This window comes from Homo sapiens, chromosome 16, assembly GCF_000001405.40.
Source record: "Homo sapiens chromosome 16, GRCh38.p14 Primary Assembly".
NCBI lineage: Eukaryota > Metazoa > Chordata > Mammalia > Primates > Hominidae > Homo > Homo sapiens.
This window is the reverse complement of record NC_000016.10, coordinates 85,818,098-85,838,419: the sequence shown is the minus strand read 5'-3', so window position 1 is coordinate 85,838,419 and position 20,322 is coordinate 85,818,098. Positions and strand designations below refer to the sequence as shown.

The 20,322-nt window shown below is 51.3% G+C and overlaps 1 annotated feature.

Annotated features, from left to right (window-relative positions):
* Positions 16,083-16,592: an enhancer, noted in NCBI's record as "H3K27ac-H3K4me1 hESC enhancer chr16:85855434-85855943 (GRCh37/hg19 assembly coordinates)". NCBI's record gives its function as "activates a minimal SCP1, AML or CMV promoter by ChIP-STARR-seq in primed H9 embryonic stem cells {active_cell/tissue: H9 hESC(primed)}" and the evidence as "EXISTENCE:reporter gene assay evidence [ECO:0000049][PMID:30033119]".

The window sequence follows — 20,322 nt, the reverse complement described above, 5'->3', positions numbered from 1 at the left end:
TTACAATTTGCCTCTTTCTCCTAAAAATAGAATTTTTCTAATTCCCTTATTTGAGGTTTTACTTCATGATAAACTCTAAGAACAGCATTCACTCCTATTTTTTCCAAGAAACACTTTGGACTCCAAAGCCAAAGTCAAATACATAAGCACCCGTCCTAGTCCCTCTTTCATCCTGAGAGCTTGGATAGAAATTCAAACGAGCTCAAAAGCCAGAAATCTGTTTTGAAAATAAGGTTTTCTGCCTTCCTCCTATAGGTTTGGGGTTTTTTTATTTCAAATTTTAGATACAGGGGGTACATGTGCAGGTTTGTTACGTGGGTATATTGTACCCCGGTAGTGAACATACTACCCAATAGGTAGTTTTTCAACCCACGGCCCCCTCCTCCCTCTCCCTGGTAGTAGTCTTCAGTGTCTATCCTTCCCATGTTTACATCCATGTGTGTTCAAGGTTTAGCTCCCACCTTTAAGTGAGAACAAGAGGTATTTGGTTTTCTGTTCCTGCATGAATTTGCTTAGGATAATGGCCTCCAGCTGCATCCATGTTGCTGCAAAGGACAGGATCTCATTCTTTTTTATGGCTGCATACTATTCCATCGTGTATAAGTACCACATTTTCTTTATCCAGTCTACAATTGATGGGCACCTGGGTTGATTCCATGTCTTTGCTGTTGTGAATAGCGCTGTGATTAACACATGTGTGCCTGTGTCTTTTTGGTAGAATGATCTATTTTCCTTTGGGCATATGCCCAGTAGTGGGATTGCGGGGTTAAATGGTAGTTCTATTTTTAATTCTTTGAGAAATCTCCAAACTGCTTTCCGCAATGGCTGAACTAATTTACATTAATCCTTTTAATAGTGGCCTTTGAAATAAACTTTGAAGTCGAGAGTTTCACGGGCATTGATTGCGTCTGCTCCTCCCAATTCCAAGGTGGAGCTCATGATGCCCATTCGACAGGAGAGTCACCTGGCCTTGAGGAGCTTAAGGGACAGTCCCGGGACCATGACACCACCACCTCCAGTGGACTGTGTCTCCCAGCTCTCAGCCTGGCGTGTACTCTCCTCATAAGCCATGCCCCGCAAGGGCTGATTCTGGGGTCTTGGCTGAGACCAGTTTCAGGAAGCTGTGCTTTCCAATCCCTCCAGGTGAGCTTGCGTCACACGCCTTGCTCGCCCCTCTAACCTGCTCCACAGCCACTGACATTGTTTCTAAAATCTGGTCTCCAACAACAAAGTGCCGTGTTGCAACAGCTTCTCAAGGCACAGAGTGGTGGTTCTCTCCTCTTGACCCACTTCTCCATATTCAAATTGTACTCAGCTCGCTGGAGAATATGAAAGATTCAGAACAGCGAGGCCACTGGACCAGCCCAGCAGGTCTTGGAGGAGGGGGGCACAAACGATCTGGCGTGATCACCGCAGGTCCTGGCGCTCCCAGGTGGCTTTCTGGTAGACCCATTTGCTTCCACGACTGTGGTCTCTTGTGTAATTGTGACATAAAGTTCACACACCTGGCTGTGGATGCCGTATCCCACCACCTGTCCTCCGGGGTGGCACACCTGTAGCTGGCTTCCAGACACACCTCTCAAACTCTCCTAAGGGGCCTTTGGATTCCCGTTTCCCTGGGTAGGGTGTCATGTGCCCCAGTGCACGTGTGCACCGCATCACAGCCAGAGGGCCAGGGACTTGCAGCACAGCCGATTACATTTCTAGACCAACAGGAGCAGTGAGGGCAGGGCAGCTGGCCCCAGCTCCCACCAGCTCACCAGAGCCCATTCTGTGCACCTCATTCCAGCTCCTCATCAGTGACGCCGTGGCAGTGACATGAAATCGGCCACAGTGGAGGGTTTGCCACCATGTGATGAGCAAGCCCTGGACAATCGGAGCTTTCCCCGAGCGAGCTGATTGTTAGGGTCGCCAGCACATCACCAGCGGAAGGAGCCCCGAGCAACTGCTGGGCTGCTTTGCATTCACCTGTCCCAGCAGAGTGGGGGTTCCATGATCCCCAAGACACCTTCTGGTTTCTGAACCAACGTTCTCTACTGCACAGCAGAAACGGGCTCAGAGGAAGGGCCCAGAAGCCCAGACTTGCTGCCCGGGTTTCCCTCGAGACCTGCCTTTCCTCTTCTCCAAGACGCTCAGCCCCCGACAGGGACAGGGCTGCTCAGTGTCTGTGTGGGGCTGTTTGACAGGTTCACTGAAACAGAGCCCCTCATCCTCCCTCTCCAGCCAAGCGGGACTCGACCTGCCGAGTGCTTTCTTGGCTGAGTATTTATTTTCTGCTTATGATTTATAAGGGACACCCTCTCTTCCAGAAAGGCCAGGGGGAGCCTGGTACCCCGACAAGCAGCACCTGCCACTGCAGAGAAGAATCTGGAATGTGGTCCCCGGGGTGGCTGGAAGCCGGGTTGTCCTCTCCAGGAGGCCTCGTGGGGTGACATTTGGTCCCCTGTCCCCAGTCCTGCTCCAGAATCTGCTAGCCTCAAAGACGCAGAACTGAGTAGAGATCCTGACCCAATAGACAAGCACAGGGAGCCAGGACCTGCTGACTTGGTGATCGGCATTGAACATTCTGCGTGTCACAGCCTGGAATACACCTGCCAGGGTTACCTGCACAGTCTCTTGCTTTGAAATGTCTGTGCAGAAGCCAGGTCATAAACACGCAGTTTCTTGGCGAGCTCGGGGTTAGACAGCAGGAGCTGCATGAAGCAGACACCCCATAGCCTCTGCTGAGATGCCTGGGCCTCCCTCCTACGACGGCCGGTCGCTCACAGCCAGCAGGCCTGGGACACCGCGCCGCAGTGCCGACACCTGCTGCCCAGGCACGACCTGGTGGGACAGCTGAGCTCCTCCCCCTGCATGGAGCCGCCCTTGCCTCCGCTATGCCCATGTCCTCTGGGGTCCTGCCAGAGCATGCGTGCCTGGAAGCCACTTCCAACTTTTGCTGACTTTTGTCTCTGCACTGGTCCAGTCGCCTGACACATGTTCGAGTGCTGGTCAAGGCTGCCCAGGTTCCAGCCCTGGCTCTGCCTCCTGCCACTGGTGGACGTGGGGCACACCACACACTGCCACCCACCTCTGTGTGCTCAGCCTCAGGTCGGGAGGGTGCTGGGCTCACCCGCTAGGCCTGGAGGGCTGCGTGAGATGACACTTGGCAGGCACCTGGAACAGCACCCAGCACAGGGCAAGGACGTACAACAGGAGGACCGGTGGTTCCTGAAAGGGATCAGAGTTGAGCTCAGAGGGCAAAGCTTTTTCCTTTTCACACTCCTGAGGAGTGGTTCAGGAACTCCTCAGTGGACAGGAGCTCCTAAGCTCTCAATTCTTGGAGATACATTGAGTTGCAGGCGGTTGCCCCCCAAACCCATCCCAAATACCCAGAGAAAATCCATTGCACCACCCCGTTTGAAGCTGCTGATGTTGAAACCTGGCTCCTGCACCTGCCCTGGGCCCACAGCCGCTCAGGCTACTACTCCCTTCTCTGCATGGCGGCCCTCACATGGCTCAGGGTTGCAGCCCTCACCAAGCCCCCTTCGCTGCTCCTCACCCCTCACTGGCTTGCTTGGGTCTCTGGACTCCAGCTGCACCCTGGCTGGTCAACTCCTGGTAAGCAGGGGAGTTTCTCCTTAGGCAGAAATCAAGAGCACCACCCCATCCCCATCCCCATCCCCATCCCCATTCCCAGCGGCCCCCACCATTAAGCACTGAACCAAATGACGTGTGAGCTGAAGGGCAGTCTGTCACTTCCATGCATTCTCATCAAAGTGAAAGAGCTGGCTCTGTCTCCCCCTCTTCCCCTCTTGCTGGTTTGAAGGCAGACACGATGGCTGGAGCCTCTGCAGCTGTCTTAGACCCTGAGGTGCTGTGCTAGAATGGCAGAGGAGCACGAGAAGAGAGAGCAGGCACTGTGGACCATGCCATGGTCAGCCCTGAGCTGCTGCTGATACCTGTGTAGTTTTCTTGTTTTAATATGATGGGGGGAAATGGCCTGTCTAGAGAAAAAACACAGTTCCTCTCTCTCTTATCTTTCCTATTCTTCCTTCCCTCCCTCCTTCCCTCCCTCCTTCCCTCCTTCCTTCCCTCCCTCCTTCCCTCCCTCCCTCCCTCCCTCCCTCCCTCCTTCCCTCCCTCCTTCCCTCCCTCCTTCCCTCCCTCCTTCCCTCTCTCCCTCCTTCCCTCCCTCCTTCCCTCCCTCCTTCCCTCCCTCCTTCCCTCCCTCCTCCCTCCCTCCCTCCCTCCTTCCCTCCCTCCTTCCCTCCCTCCCTCCTTCCTTCCCTCCCTCCCTCCCTCCTTCCCTCCCTCCTTCCCTCCCTCCCTCCCTCCCTCCCTCCTTCCCTCCCTCCTTCTCTCCCTTCTTTCATCTTTCCTTTTCCCCTTTTCTTCCTCCATCCCTTTCTGCCTCCCTCCCTCCTTCCTTCCTTTGACACAGCCAAATCTGATTCTGATACTCAGCAGGCATTGTTTCCATCTCTTCTACCCAGCAGACCAAGTGGAACAAAGTGACTGGTGCCATCCCACCACCTTCTCTGCGGGAGAATGCCTCCCATCAGAAGAGGCGGGCTGCATCCAGTCAAGCCAGCCACCTGCTGCGGAGGAGCAGGGACCCCACCCTGGGTGGGAGGACAGCCCATTCCTCTCCCACAAGCCCCGGCTGGGCCAGACCTGGTGAGCTTGGTGCCCCGCCTCTGGCATCCGCTGCGGCCTGGCTGAGGGCAGAACAGCCCTCTCCCTCACTGACTCCCTCACCACCGGGGTGAAGGAGACCTGTGCTGTGACCTGTGCTGTAGCTGCACGCGTCTGATTTCAAGAGTGGGAGTGAGGGGAAAGCGGCGGAGGTGAGCTCAGCCCTGGTCTGGAGCCCGGGTGTTACGCAGCCCCCACCCCTAATCTCATCTGGGGCCTTGGACAGCACACTAAACCCCGGTGCCAGAATCTCCCCTGACTCGAAGGGAAATGAGGAACAGGATCTGGCATCATCCCAAAGTACCTCTCCCCGAAAACATATTAAAACAAAGGGAGGAAGCACGTTTACCACGGAGAAACCCAGAAGACGCCATGTGCACTGGGCAATGAAAGCTGGTGCCATCACGCTGGACAGACCCCACCATGTGTCCCCAGGGTGAGCTGAGAATATCTCAGCCTCCCTTCTGTGCTTTTCCAGCCAAAATGCATCACGTGGATCCCATCATGAGGAAACATCAGACAAAACCAAACTGAGGGGCATTTGACACAACACGAGCCTGTCATACCCAAACAGGGCAAGGCCACAGATACCAGGAAAGACAGGACTGTTCCAGACAACAGGAGGTGAGGGAGGCGTGGCTATGGGACCTGTGCCCCAGAGGGGATGGGACTGCAGCAGCAGGCGCCCGTCTATTGAGAAATCTGAGTGGGGACTCTGGGGATGGGGATGGGGAACACAGGAGTTCTCTGAAATAGTCTTACAACCTTTCCGTAAGTTCAAAATGGTTTCCAGATAAACAGTCACAATAAATGGAAGGAGAAAAAAATAAAAACAGGCGGAACAGAGAGTGACAGAGCTGCGGTGCCTCCTGACAGGACGAGGGGGATGGACACCACTTCTGCCGTGTAGTCGCTGAAAGCTGTCCCTGAGTCAGAACGCCCTGGGGACAGGCGGCCACCAACAGGCACCTGGCAGGTCCTCCATGCGTGTCCCGCGTGCGAGGCGCCTCCAGATGGCGGCCCAGCTTCCTCAATGAAAGGCGGCTAGAAAGAAAGAACTGAGGGAGATTTAAGACACAAATCGACCTTTTTGCATCTGAATTCAAGCAAACCAGCAAACCAACTTCAGGAAGACATTCATGAGAAAATCAGCGAAACCTGAATGTTGCCTGGATATTACATGATATGAAGGAATTATTGTTAAATGGTCTAGATGGAATGATGATATTGCTGTGAAGGTTGTTTTTTCTGATTTTTGTTTGTTTTGGTTTTTTGTTTTTTGGGGTTTTTTGTTTTGTTTTGTTTTGTTTTTGAGATGGAGTCTTGCTGTGTTGCCCAGGCTGGAATGCAGTGGCACGATCCCAGATCACTGCAAACTTCACCTCCTGGGTTCAAGCAATTATCCTGCCTCAGCCTCCTGAGTAGCTGGGATTACAGACACGCACCACCACACCCAGCTAATTTTGGTATTTTAGTAGAGATGGGGTTTCACCATGCTGGCCAGGCTGGTCTCGAACTCCTGACTTCAGGTGATCCGCTCGCCTCAGCCTCCAAAAGTGCTAGGATTATAGGCGTGAGCTGCTGTGCCTGGCCTGTTTTGGTTTTTTGAGACAAGGTCTTACTCTGTCTCCCAGGCTGGAGTTTAGTGGTGGGATCACAGCTCATTACAGCCTTGACCTCCTGGGCTCAAGCAAACTTCCCACCTCAGCCTCTTGAGTACCTGGAACTACAGGTGCACACCACCTCACCCAGCTAATTTTTTAATTTTTTGTTGAGACAGAGTCTCACCATGTTGCCCAGGTTGGTCTCAAACTCCTGGGCTCAAGTGATCTGCCCACTGCAGCCTCCCAAAATGTTGGGATTATAGGCACAAGCAACAGTACCTGGCCAGTTTTCTTTTTTTTTTTTAAGCCTTCATCTCTAAGACTATTTGGACACATTCATGGATGAAACAAGACAATGTCTGCAACTTGTTTAAAAACACCAGCATCAAACCACACAAATGTCTGTCAACAGATGAATGAATAAACAAAGGGTGATATAGTCAGATATTCAGATGGTGGAATATTATTCAGCCTTGAAAAGGAAATTCTGATACATGCTATGACCTGCATGAACCTTGAAAACATTATGCTGAGTGAAACGAGACAAACAAAAAGGACAATACTATGATTCCACGTATATGAGGTTCCTAGAGTAGTCAAAATCGTAGCAGCAGAAAGTCAAATGGTGGTGTTCAGAGGCTGGGGGATGGGGAATGGGAGTGAATGTTTAATGGGGACAGAGTTTCAATTAGTAGCAGAAGGTAGGGTTCAGAGGCTGAGGGACGGGGAATGTTAGTGAATATTTAATGGGGACAAAGTTTCCATTTCAAAGATGAAAAAGTTCTGGAGATGGACGGTGGTGCTAGTTCCACAACAGCGTAAACGTGCTTAATGCCACTGAAGTGTGCACTCAAAGAAGGTTGAAATGGTAACATTTAGGCTATGTCTATTTTGCCACAATAATTTTAAAAATACCAGGGTGGGCGAGCGCTATGCCAATCATCGTTGAAACTGGGTGTGGGAGCATGAGGAGCTCTTTTGAGTATCCACCACATTTTTGTGTGTGTTTGAAATCTTCCATACGAAAATGCTCCCTTTAAAACTTCAGAGTAAAACAGCAATCCAAATCCATCAGGGCTGATGAGGAAATGCATGAAACGGCATGTGAAACGATCATGGGATTGTGTGGGCAAAAGTCTGGCTACCCAACTATGTCTATGATATGATTTCAATTATATGCAAAAGTAGGCATTAGGGGGAAAAGTCTGGAAGGAAATATACCAAAATTACAATAGCTACGGTGTTCAGAGAGCGGGATAAGCGATCATGGTTTTTCTTTTTCTGAACTTTCTCTGACAGAGTTCCTTGTAGAGTTTGTTTATTTGTTTGTTTGTTTGTTGTTCTTGAGATGAAGCCTGGCTCTGTTGCCCAGGCTGGAGGGCAGTGGTGCGATCTCGGCTCACTTTAACCTCTGCCTCCCAGGTTCAACTGATTCTCCCGCCTCAGCCTCCCGAGTAGCTGGGACTACAGGTGTGCACCACCACACCCGGCTAATTTTTGTATTTTTAGTAAAGATGGGGGTTTCACCATGTTGGCCAGGTTGGTCTTGAACTCCTGACCTCAGGCGATCCCAAATTTCTGGGATTACAGTTGTGAACCACCGTGCCCAGCCCCTTGTAGAGTTTTATAAGTAAATTACGTCCACCCAAGGCAGGAACAGGAGAGAGGATGTCAGGAAGTAACCAGGGCAGGGATACGGCAACATCACTCCAGAGAGCCCAGCAGCTTCCTGGGAGAGGCAGGCTGGGGGTCCATCAGGACAGCCATAGCCCAGAGCAAGGAGCTCGGGGACTCTGCCACCAGCTGTCTGGCCCTCAGATTTGAAGGCTGGACTCCCATCCCAAATGGACATGGTGCTGGTTGCAATAGGAATGAAGGAGGGAGCCAGTCTGCAAAGGAGCCCGTCCACCTTCTGACACCAGCCTTGGCCTCTGCTGCCCAGGGACCCCACCACAGTCCTTCAAGCCTGCCCGGTCCTACCCACTCCTGCCCACATTCTATTCTCTCAGAGGTCCATCCTTTGCAGCTACGGCTTGTTTAGGCCAATCGCTGCTGGCTCCTGGGGGTGCGATGGGCCAGGTCTGTCCTGAGAAATGGCCCTGGCAGGGAGGGGCCTCAGCGCCCACCCAGCTGCAGCAGGCCCCGTGGAGGGCGCTTCCTGCCCCTTCGCCTCCCGCTGCGGCGTCCATGGGCTTGTGGTTGCCTCGGCCCCAATCTGGACTCCGAGTTGCTCAACCGGCCATGCTTTTCCTGTTCCCCTTTTCCCAGGCGGGTGCAGCTCCTGCCGGTGTGGTCCCGGCCTCTGTGGGCTCACCGCAGGGAAGCACAGCCCCTGCACGGTGGCCCCCGGGGCTGTTTCCACGTCTCTGATTGCTTTTTCCCTGCCTGGGTTGCTAAACAGTTGATGAAAAAAACCCTTTCATTTGCTTTTTTATTTTGAGGAAGGAGCCCAGTTTGTCTGTCTGGGAAGACGTTAAAATGGTCCTAAGGACAAGCCCCCAGCAGACCCAAGAGCCACTGGAAGCACCTCTCCTCCCTGTCCCTGGGTGATGGTGCCCAAGCGTGCCCGGAGGCTGCGCAGTCATAATTGCTGGTGTTTACAGAGACTTCCTGTTCACTCAAGGAGAGAGTGCCATCCCATCCCACCCTCCCGGGAGTCCTCCAAAGGGGTGCCGCTGTGACGCTGGGTGTGCTGGCAAGATAACTGTGTTGAGCTCAGGGAGGCGGATGGAACCACTTCCCCAGGCAGAACCACCTAGCATCTCACCAGGTGCCCACAGGTGCCCACGTACCGCCCAGGCCACACAGACGTGGGAGGATCCTTTGGTGAGTGGAGACTCATGCCCGAGTTCACCCATTTCGGAAGGAAATACCGAGGGGCAGAGAAAAACACCAACAACCAAAAACACGTGCAACCAAAAACACCTGCAACCAAAAACACCTACACCCAAAAACACCTACAATAAAAAACACCTACACCCAAAAACACCTACAAACCAAAAACACCTGCAACCAAAAACACCTGCAACCAAAAACACCTGCACCCAGAAACACCTACACCCAAAAACACCTACACCCAAAAACATCTACGCCCAAAAACACCTACAATAAAAAACACCTACACCCAAAAACACAACCAAAACACCTGCAACCAAAAACACCTACACCCAAAAACACCTACAATAAAAAACACCTACACCCAAAAACACCTACACCCAAAAACACCTGCACCCAAAAACACCTACACCCAAAAACACCTGCACCCAAAAATACCTACACCCAAAAACACCTGCAACCAAAACCACCTACACCCAAAAACACCTGCACCCAGGAGAATCCCTTCTGTGGGGAGGGCGGGGGCGAGATTAACACTGGGTCCCGGATAATGTGGCATTCTTATACCAGCTGATGGGTCCATGGGGATTCACTGTATTACCCTTTATACATTCTGTGTGTTTGAAATCTTTTATAATAATTTTAAAGCAAAAAACTTTACATAATAATATAATTATATAATAATCATATAATTTTAAAGCAAAAAACTGTACAGTTTTCCTCCCTAGCACTGAAAAAATACAAGGAAGAATATTAGCCAAGTGGCTGGTGATCTTTGCATCAAAGACACTGGGCTCCACTATTTATCCCAAAACACACATTCGGGATTCAAGTACCCAACATACAGCGTTGGGCCAGGCCCGCCCTAAGGTGTCACCATGGAATTGGAATCGTGGGTTTATCGAGGGTCCCGCCACAGCCCCTCCGGCCTCCAAGGGCCATCTGACCCCACCTTCTGCCATCAGCCTGTGCAGGTCACTCCCGAGGCCCATCCCCCAGCCTCCACCACCAGCTGTATAAAAACAGCAACCCTGACTTGAGGAACCCGCTACACTTTTCAAACCCAAAGAAAGAAAAATACAGGCTGCTCAGACACCTGAAACAAACACTGACTTGGCTTTTCTGACCCTGAGTTCCACAAGGATCTTTATTACATAAACATCTGAAAGATCCGTTCTCTGGAAACGGACAGAATACATAATTCACTCACAGCATAAACAGCCCAGCCTCCCGCTGCTCCAGTCCCCAACTATCTGTTATTATTATTTTTATTTCAAAAACTTCACGAAGGGTTTCATGGCCAGTGACCAACGCTCGTCTCCACGAGCAGAGATTGGGCGGCAGCTGCTCTGCAGGGAGAGAGTGTGGAGAGAGCCTGGAGTTGGGGTGATAACTTGAGGCCCTGGGGGCCCCCACCCCCATGCCCACTCTCAGCCCCCTCTTGTGCATCTGGTGTGGGGTGGGTGCTAGATTCTGAAGTTTCAAATACTGGGGTTGCTTCAACTTGAAAATGCTTTCACAGGACCAGAAACTATGCTTTACATCTTTATTTTTTTGAGACAGAGTCTCAATCTGTTGCCCAGGCTGGAGTGCAGTGGCATGATCTGGGCTCATTGCAACCTTCGACTCCCAGGTTCAACAGATTCTCGTGCCTCAGCCACCCAAGGAGCCGGGATTGCAGGCATGCACCACCAGGCCCGGCTAATTTTTTTTATTTTTAGTAGAGATGGGAGTTCACTATGTTGGCCAGGCTGGTCTCGAACTTCTGGGCTCAAGTGATCCACCCGCCTCGGCCTCCCAAAGTGCTGGGATGACAGGTGTGAGCCACCACACCCAGCCTGCTTTACATCTTAACAGGTCAGTTCTCTGAGCCTGGGGTCTTTCTGTCCATGACACGGGTGGGTGGACTGGATCAGTGCATAAAAGGTCCCCCACAGATCCAAGATGTCCACATTGATCTCGTGAAGTGCATCGGCGTTAGAGGTCTTTGGTCACAAGTAACAGAAGCCCGCCCACCCTGATGAAGTAAGGGAAAAAGAAATGTATGGACCCACATAACCAGGAAGTCCCAGAATGGACCCAGTGTGAAGGGGTGTAGAGACTCGTCAGTGGGTGTACACATCTGTGCCCGTGTGTGCTTTGTGAGTGTGTGTGCATGTGTATGGTGTCCATGTGTGTGCTTTGTTCGTGTGTGTATGTGTGTAAACGTGTGCATGATTTGTGCATGTGTGTGCAAGTGTGTGCTTACTGCGTGTGTGTGCATGTGTGTGGCATCCGTGTGTGTGCTTTGTTCATGTGTGTGTCCACGTGTGTACGTGTGTGCAAGTGTGTGCTTTGTTCATGTGTGTGCACATGTGTGTCCACATGTGTGCATGCTTTGTGCATGAGTGTGTGAAGCCCGCAGCGTGGCGAGGCCTCTGGACGCAAGATTTTTGGGGATTGAATTGTGCTGCCTGGAGCAAACCCGTGCAGGACAGTTTTTCTGTGTTTGCTTCAGAGAACGAAAACATCTCAGATACAGTGGGGGCCCCTTCATTCTCCCAGTTCCGCTCCCTGCCCTCCTTTCCCGGGGTTGGTATGGATTCCACATGCCTGTATTTCTTCTGCTGCAGCTGAAGGCATCTGTAGGAACGGTCTATTGCCACCTTCTGTTTAACATTTGTCAGTAGAGGCTTCCTATGGCACAGACCCTCAGCAGCCTCTCTTCTCATGCCCCCTGCATGTTTCCAAAATCCTTCCTGTTGACGCAGGTACATCTGCTGCTTCCAGATTAACTGCAGGATGCGACTCTCGGGTGTAGCCCTGCCGCAGTTCATTTCTCCATTCCTCCCTTGATAAACACTCGGGCAGGGACCTCCACGGCCAGCTGTGCCCGGCGTGGCCAGACAGCCCCGCAGCGTGGTCACACCTGTTTACTCTCCTCCTGCCCGCATCTGAGAGTGGGGGACATATTTCTACTCAAAACAAGGTGAGCAGGGGACGCTGCAGTGAGGAATGACAGAGAAGAGGAAGGCGCCCACACCACGGCAGGAGTTGGAGACACGGATATCCCACGCTTCCACTGGCTTGGGGATGCCTGGGAGGAACAGCCTGCCCATCAACAGCCCGTCCTACCAATCTCCCAGCCCAGAAAGTCTCAGGAAGCCGCCAGCGCAGGCTTCCAAGGACTTTTCAAACATTTTTAAAAGTAAATTTTAGCCTGAGATTCTTGGTACCTTGAAGGTCCATGGAAGAGATCCACGGGCCTAGCAGCTTGAGTGCAAGAGGTTCTGTGATCTTGCATGTACTTCTGGGAGAGGATTGTCAGCTTGTGTTGGATTTTCAGGGGCTGGGAACTCCAAAAGTCTTAGGATCTGTGTGTTAGGTCAGGGCTGTTTCTCTTATGAATGATAAAAAAAAAAAAAAAAAAAATCCAACCTAAACTGTCTTGAGTGAAAAAAGGAGAAAAAATGGAAAGTATTGTCTCAAATAAGCAAAAGTTCCAGGGGTAGCAGGGCTTGCCAATCACACGAGAAAACAGGGTCTCCGAGGGCTTCACCTCCAGGCGAGCGCCTTCCACCTGGGGTCCCCCAAACGGGTGCACACACACACCCTTGCATCTCCACACGCAGCAGAAAGTAATGCTGTCCCTCAGTCACTCCAGCAGAAGTCCTGGAGTCCAGTGAACCCATATACATCACATGCCCATCCGTGAACAATCCCTCTCCCAGAAAATTGGGATGTGCAGGTGGCTCGGGCCGGGTCCCACGCCCACCCCTGGCCTGGGGGATGCTGAGTCACCTGCCCCCACGTGGCTGGGCAGGGGAAGTGTGACTTCCCACCAGAAATCCAGGTGATGCTCTGCCGAAGGGGTTACAGAGCAGGGCAGGGCATTGAACAACCCTTGTATTCTGGAACAGGCAAACTCCTGAGCCTAGAGCTGAGCTCTCGGGTAGTTTACTATGGCCAGTCCTGGACGAGGCCTGGTGACTCTGGTGCCCTGTCTGCAGGGATGTGCGGTGGAAGGCAGTGCCATCTGTCGTGGGCTGGATTGGGTCCCCCCACCCCAGAAGTATGTTAAAGTTGTTGAAGTCCTGAGCCAATGGATATGACCTTATTTGGAAATAGGGTCTTTGCAGATGTAATCAGGTTAAGATGAGGTCATGCTGGATTAGGGTGGGCCCTAAATCCAATGACAGCTGTCCTTATAAGAAAAAGCAGAGAGGGATTTGCAGGCACCAGGGGGACGGCCGTGAGACAATGGAGGCAGAGACTGGGGTGAAGTGGCCAAAGCCAAGGAACGCCAGGGAGCGCCAGAAGCTGGGAGAGGCCAGGCAGCCCCTCCCCCGGAGCCCGCAGACAGCGTGCCCCCCGGCAATGCTCTGATGAAGGCTCTGGCCTCCAGGACCGTGTGGAACACATCTCTGTTGTTCTAGGCCTCCCAGAGTGGGGCCGTTTGTTACAACAATCCCAGGACACTGTCACACCCACTGTCCAGTCCTGCCATTGGCTCTGACCAGGCGGTGCACCCAGGCAACCCGACGTGGGTGCACGGTCACCCTGGCTCATATCCCTCACAGCCCCAGACCACTGGCTCCTCCACACCCATGAGGATCCCAACCTGGGGTTTTCCAAAAAGACCACGAGGAGGTTTGAGGAAGTAGTGGCCCCAATGGCTGGGAAAGTCCTCTGGGCAGCCTCATGACTCTGCTTCCCAGGTGACCCCAGAGAGTCTGAAGACGCGTCCTCCCCCAAATCCCCAGAAGGCTCCTGATCAAAGGGAAAACCCCAGGGACCCCCCTCCAGCCCAGCACACCCACAGCTTGTGTGGGATGCCTGGGCAGCACCAGAAGCCTACATGGCTATTAGCCAGGAAGCCCGCACACAGAATGACTGCCTGAGTCCCCTGTTGGCCACACCCTCTGACCACATGTGGTCACCTCCAGTTGGCACTCTCTGGTATCTGGACATGACTTGCCTCGATATCCAGTGGAGGAGCCAAGCCACAGCCACCCCTGACCAAGTTGGCCTCAAGGGCTTGCTCCCTCTGAGCTCAACTCTTATCTGAAGTCTGTGCTATTAGCCAGGCTACCATGGCTCAAGGCTGAACACCCTGGCCCTGGAAGTGGACAGACTTGTGTCTGAATCCCGGTCCTATCACCTGTTTGACATACAGCCTTTGGAAGTTGTTCGGCCTTTCTTGGTGTCTCCATCTGGAACAGAAAACCATACCTCCTATATCTTAGGGTTGCAGGATTAGGTGACACAATGTACAACATAGCTGTTAGCATGATTTATGATGACAAGGCATGCATTAAGTGTTTATTGAATGCCTAATATGTGCCAGACAATATCCTAGAAGCTAAGGTTACAGGAGAAACAGAACAGACACCATTGTCTTTAAGCCTATGAAGATGACAATGGTGATGGTGGCAATGACGATGAGGATGAAGATGCTGATGGTGATGATAATGGTGATGGTGACAGTGATGATGATCATGATGGTGATTATGGTGATGATGACAATGATGGTGATGATGGTGATGATGGTGGTGATGATGAGGATGGTGATGGTGATGGTGGTGATGTTGATGGTGATGGTGATGTTGATGATGAGGATGGTGATGGTGATGGTGATGTTGATGGTGATGATGATGGTGATGGTGATGATGATGATGGTGATGATGATGTTGATGGTGATGATGATGATGGTGATGATGGTGATGATGTTGATGAGGATGGTGATGGTGATGTTGATGGTGATGATGATGGTGATGATGGTGATGGTGATGATGATGTTGATGGTGATGATGATGATGGTGATGATGGTGATGGTGATGATGAGGACAGTGATGGTGATGATGGTGATGGTGATGGTGATGTTGATGATGAGGATGGTGATGGTGATGTTGATGGTGATGATGATGTTGATGGTGATGATGATGATGGTGATGATGGTGATGGTTATGATGGCAATGATAATGATGATGGTGATGGTGATGATGAAGGTGAAGCCAAGACTACTCTCTAGACCACAAGATCCTCCTGAACAGGAACTGTATCTCACATTTTCTGTCCCCTTCAGCATCTAGCACGGTGCCTTGCACATGGTAGGTACTCAAGAAATATGTGTTGATGGACTTATGTTTCTTCAGGTTGCTTTAACCAAAGGAGAACCCTCTCCCAAGAGTAGCTCAAGCTGGCCTGCAATGCAAATTTCTTTGAATTTGTGTATTTTAAGATTGACTTGGGCTTTTTATTTCATTCCATTGTATATCCATGTTTGTTTTACTTATAAACAACAAGAACTTTTTTCCAAAACTTTGAGTGAAAATGATACCCCAGGAAAACATGGCTTGTTTATATCTGTGGCTTTTGAGACACTAACCACCCCCACAGACTCACTGACCCTCCCACCCCAAACCCCTCGGGCTACCACCCCATACATCTGGAGGTCCACAGAGCCTTGGGTCAGATGCACAAACCCAGGCTGCTAAGCCACTCTGGAAAAAACACTTCTCTCTCCCAGTGGTGTTGGGGTGGGGCGAGCCTTTGAAGACAGGGGTCTCTTCTGCCAACTCAAGTGTCTCTCTGTGATCTGAATAGACAAGGAAGGTAGGCCTGGACGCAACCACTGTATTCGTAGAGCCAAAAGGATATCAAATAAGAAGGCCCTGAAAAGGTCTCTGGAAACTTTGTTTTCCCTTTAAAACCGGGTATTTCCAGCATAGCGGCCACATAAGGGGGCTGAACAGCTGCTGGATGACTTGGATGCAGCAGTGTGGGTTCCAGTATCACCTCCGCCAGACGGTCCACAAGAAGCCATCGCCTTAGTGAGCCAGCACTATCTGCAGCCAGCACAATGGGATCTGCTTTTGAATCCTCATAAGTCACTGCTGCCAGAAGTTCTATGACTAGGCCCCTTCCCGATGGTAAAAGTGAGCAGGAAGCGGTCAGGGCCCTCACCCAGGATGCGGGGCAGCCCAGAGCTCTGTCCAGAGCTGGGCCCCACCATGGCTCCCCTGCCGCCTGCCCCGCAGGGCCTGGCCTCTCTGCCACCTCCCTGAGTTTCTATTTCCCGGTTCCTAAAGTGAGGCCTTTCCTCGGCTGCCCAGATGTGTTCCGCTCTGTTACACATGCTCATCTTCAGAAGAGTGGGAGTGGAAAGCGCCACACAGATAATTTGATAACGACACGTGCTCAGAAGTAAATTGAAATTTATTGAGCAGATGAGAATGCTCTGGCTTGGCCCTGAGGATGGACGCCCTGTCCTTCCCCTAGCAGAAGTGTGGCAAAGATGAAGAAACAGGTGTGGGGAGTGCCCACCCATCTCATTTTCTCCCTCTTAGATCAGGAGGGAGACCTACACCCCAACCACGTGGATTGCACTTCTCACACCAGGGAGGCTCCATTCACCTCCGAGGGGGTGCAGGGCCAAGAAACCTGTAAAAGCAGGTGCATCTTTGGGAGCTGTGTCTTGTGGAATTTATGGAAATACTTATTTCTGTGTTAAAACAAACACAGCAGCGCACCATGGAGCAAAATGGGAAATTCCCATGGATTTTCGAGATCAAGGACAAGACTTTTAAAGGAACTTGACCTGTGTGGCAGGACCATCGGGTCACTGCCACGTAATCCAGACGGCGCAGGCTCCCTCTGCAGCTTCTCAGCAGCTATGGTTTCAGAAGAGAGATTAATTGGGGGAAGCGCAGCAGCTGCCGGGGCTCCAGGACAAGCGCGGGGCCCTAGCGCCACCTGGTGCTCACGCGGGATATGACCGCCAACTCCGCGCCGCGGGCCGGGAAGGTGGCCCAGATTCAAATGCGGGCAGGTGGGTACAGTCCTGGGGGAGGGGTTGATGTGTGGAGGGCAACCTTGCATTGCGGACCTCCCCCCAACTCCCGCCAGCCTTCTTCAGAAGAAGCTGGGCCCCCACCCCTTTATGAATGGGTTCCTTTGGCCTCAAGGTGTTCACCTGTGGGCTGTTAAGCTCAGATCTGTTCCCCCTGGAGATTCTGATTAAGTAGCTCTGGGTTGGAGCCAAGAGATTGGTGTTTTCAACCAATTTCCCAGGTGACTTTCGTGATCACGCAACGTGGGATGCATGCAGTGGCTTGAACCTGCATTAGAATCACCTGAGGGGAACTTGAAACTGTAGCTGTGTCTGGGGTGGCGCCTTGAAACAGTCGCCCAGGTGATTCTAACGTGCAGCCTTCACTGAGACACGCTGGCCTTGGGCCAACATGGTGTTTTGTTTTGTTTTGTTTTGTTTTGTTTTGTTTTGTTTTGTGACAAGGTCTCTCTCTGTCGCCCAGGCTGGAGTGCAGCAGTGCGATCTCGGATCACTGCAACCTTTCCTCTGGGGTTCAAACGATTCTCCTGCCTCAGCCTCCCGGGTAGCTGGGATTACAGGCACCCACCACCACGCCCGGCTAATTTTTGTATTTTTATAGAGACGGGGGTTTCGCCATGTTGGCCAGGCTGGTCTCAAACTCTTGACCTTGTGATCCGCCCACCTCGGCCTCCCAAAGTGTTGGGATTACAGGCACGAGCCATCCATGCCCACGCCCAGCCTGGGAATGGGATTCTTAACATCCATCCCAAAACGAGGTGCTGCCCACAGCACAGGTCTAGAAGTGGCTCGGGGGTAATTGGTTAGTTGGAGACCACTGGACATCTGAGTTATCTGCTTTCATTGTTGACCTTTGATTAGGTTTGGAGTAGTGGCAAAGGGACAAAAGATGAGGAAGTTATTTGAAAAGACCCTTAGAGGTTGGCCCATGCCGAGGGCTTGCATGTGTTCGTTGATTCAGTAAACACTTACCATGTGCTAGGTGCTCACAAGGTACTCCACCAGATTGGACTGACTGAATTCTGGGGTAGGCTGATGCAAATTCAAATCCCAGCTCCAGCTTTATTGGCTGTCTAACCTTGTGAAAGTCACTTAACCTCTCTGTGCTTCTGATCCTTAACTTGTAAAATGGGGATTAAAAACCCCATGGGCTATAGTGAGGAAATAATGCATGCGAGGCAGTGGGCCAGGGCTCGCATCCAGGTCTGTCAAGTCAGTGACCCTGCACTTACCCCTGTGCCAGGCTACTTCAAGAATAAAGTCCTCGTGCACTGTGAGTTAGGGCAGAGCAATGCCAGACGCTACATGCAACTGAAACTGGGAAAAGGCACATTTTTCCAGCATTGTAAGCCTGCCGCAGACCCTTATAAAAAGTGTGCTTGCTTTCAGGGGCTGTGCCAAGTCAGAGTCTGTGCAAAGAATTCTTGGTGGTGAAATTATGTTTCCAGCCTTGCAGAGCTGTGACCTGCTGCAAGACGTTCCTGCTGGCAAGGACCCTGTAGGAGGCAGAGCCCGGCAGCTAGAGGAGAGGGAATCACAGCAGCTGCCTGGTGAGTAATGGGTTTGGCCAGAGCCATCCTGCAAGTCCCCTGCCTGTGGGCAAAGTGCCACTGCAAGAAGAGATGCGGGCAGGCACGGTGGCTCACGCCTGTAATCTCAGCACTTTGGGAGGCCAAGGCAGGACAATCTCTTTAGGTCAGGAGTTTGAGACCAGCCTGGCCAACACGGTGAAACCCTGTCTCTACTAAAAATACGTAAGTTAGCCAGGTGTGGTGGTACGTGCCTGTAATTTCAGCTACTCGGGAAGCTGAGGCAGGAGAATCGCTTGAACCTGGGAGGTGGAGGTTGCATTGAGCTAAGATCATGTCACTGCACTCCAGCCTGGGCCACAGAATGAGACTGTCTCAAAAGAAAAAAAAAAAAGAGAGGAAGGGAGAGAGAGAGAGAGAGACAGAGAGACAGAGAGAGAGAGATGCGTGAAAAGGAGGGTGTGTCCTTCCTTTGCCCTCTGGGCTGGAGGAAGCTCCAAGGAGAAAGAAGCTCACTGAGCCCTGGGACCGGTTTCTGGACGTCCCCGCTCTACAAACAGGACGGGTTATGTCTCAGAGCGCCCTCTGCTGTCCAGACCTCAGAATGTAGCCCACAGAAACGCGAGTCTAACTCCAAGATGCAGGTCCCCGTGTCTCCCATTGCTGCAGTTTGAGACGCCTGCAAGTTGGAAACCCTTTAAGAGGCATCTGAGAAGTGTCTGTTCATATCTTTCGCCCACTTGTTGATGGGGTTGTTTTTTTCTTGTAAATTTGTTTGAGTTCTTTGTAGATTCTGGATATTAGCCCTTTGTCAGATGAGTACATTGCAAAAGTTTTCTCCCATTCTGTAGGTTGCCTGTTCACTCTGATGGTAGTTTCTTTTGCTGTGCAGAAGCTCTTTAGTTTAATTAGATCCCATTTGTCAATTTTGGCTTTTGTTGCCATTGCTTTCGGTGTTTTAGACATGAAGTCCTTGCCCATGCCTATGTCCTGAATGGTATTGCCTAGGTTTTCTTCTAGGGTTTTTATGGTTTTAGGTCTAACATTTAAGTCTTCAATCCATCTTGAGTTAATTTTTGTATAAGGTGTAAGGAAGGGATCCAGTTTCAGCTTTCTACATATGGCTAGCCAGTTTTCCCAGCACCATTTGTTAAATAGGGAATCCTTTCCCCATTTTTTGTTATTGTCAGGTTTGTCAAAGATCAGATAGTTGTAGATGTGTGGTATTATTTCTGAGGGCTCTGTTCTGTTCCATTGGTCTGTATCTCTGTTTTGGTACCAGTACCATGCTGTTTTGGTTACTGTAGCCTTGCAGTATAGTTTGAAGTCAGGTAGTGTGATGCCTCCAGCTTTGTTCTTTTGGCTTAGGATTGACAAGTTAATGGGTGCAGCACACCAACATGGCACATGTATACTTATGTAACAAACCTGCACGTTGTGCACATGTACCCTAGAACTTAAAGTATAATAAAAATATATATATAAATAATAATAAAAAAAATAAAAGGCATCTGAGCCCCAGCTCTGGGGTAGGAACTGGGAATCATGGGTGATAAAGGACACAAACACAAATGAACCTCCTGTGGTGACACTCCCTTTCAGAGAGCAGCGTGTGACTCTTTGTGGGGCCCAGGGACCCCTTAGGCGCAGAGCCCCACCTGACACCTGACAGCCACAGAACTGCACTCAAGGTCATGAGGACACTCCTCAGCATCCTAGGCCTTGCTGCAGGCTGCTCTCCACCCATGCCGGGACTTCTCAAAGAAATGGGAACCACATCAGCTTGATGGTGGAAACAAAATGGTGTAGAACACTTTGGAAAACAGTTCAGAAGTTTTTCCAAAAA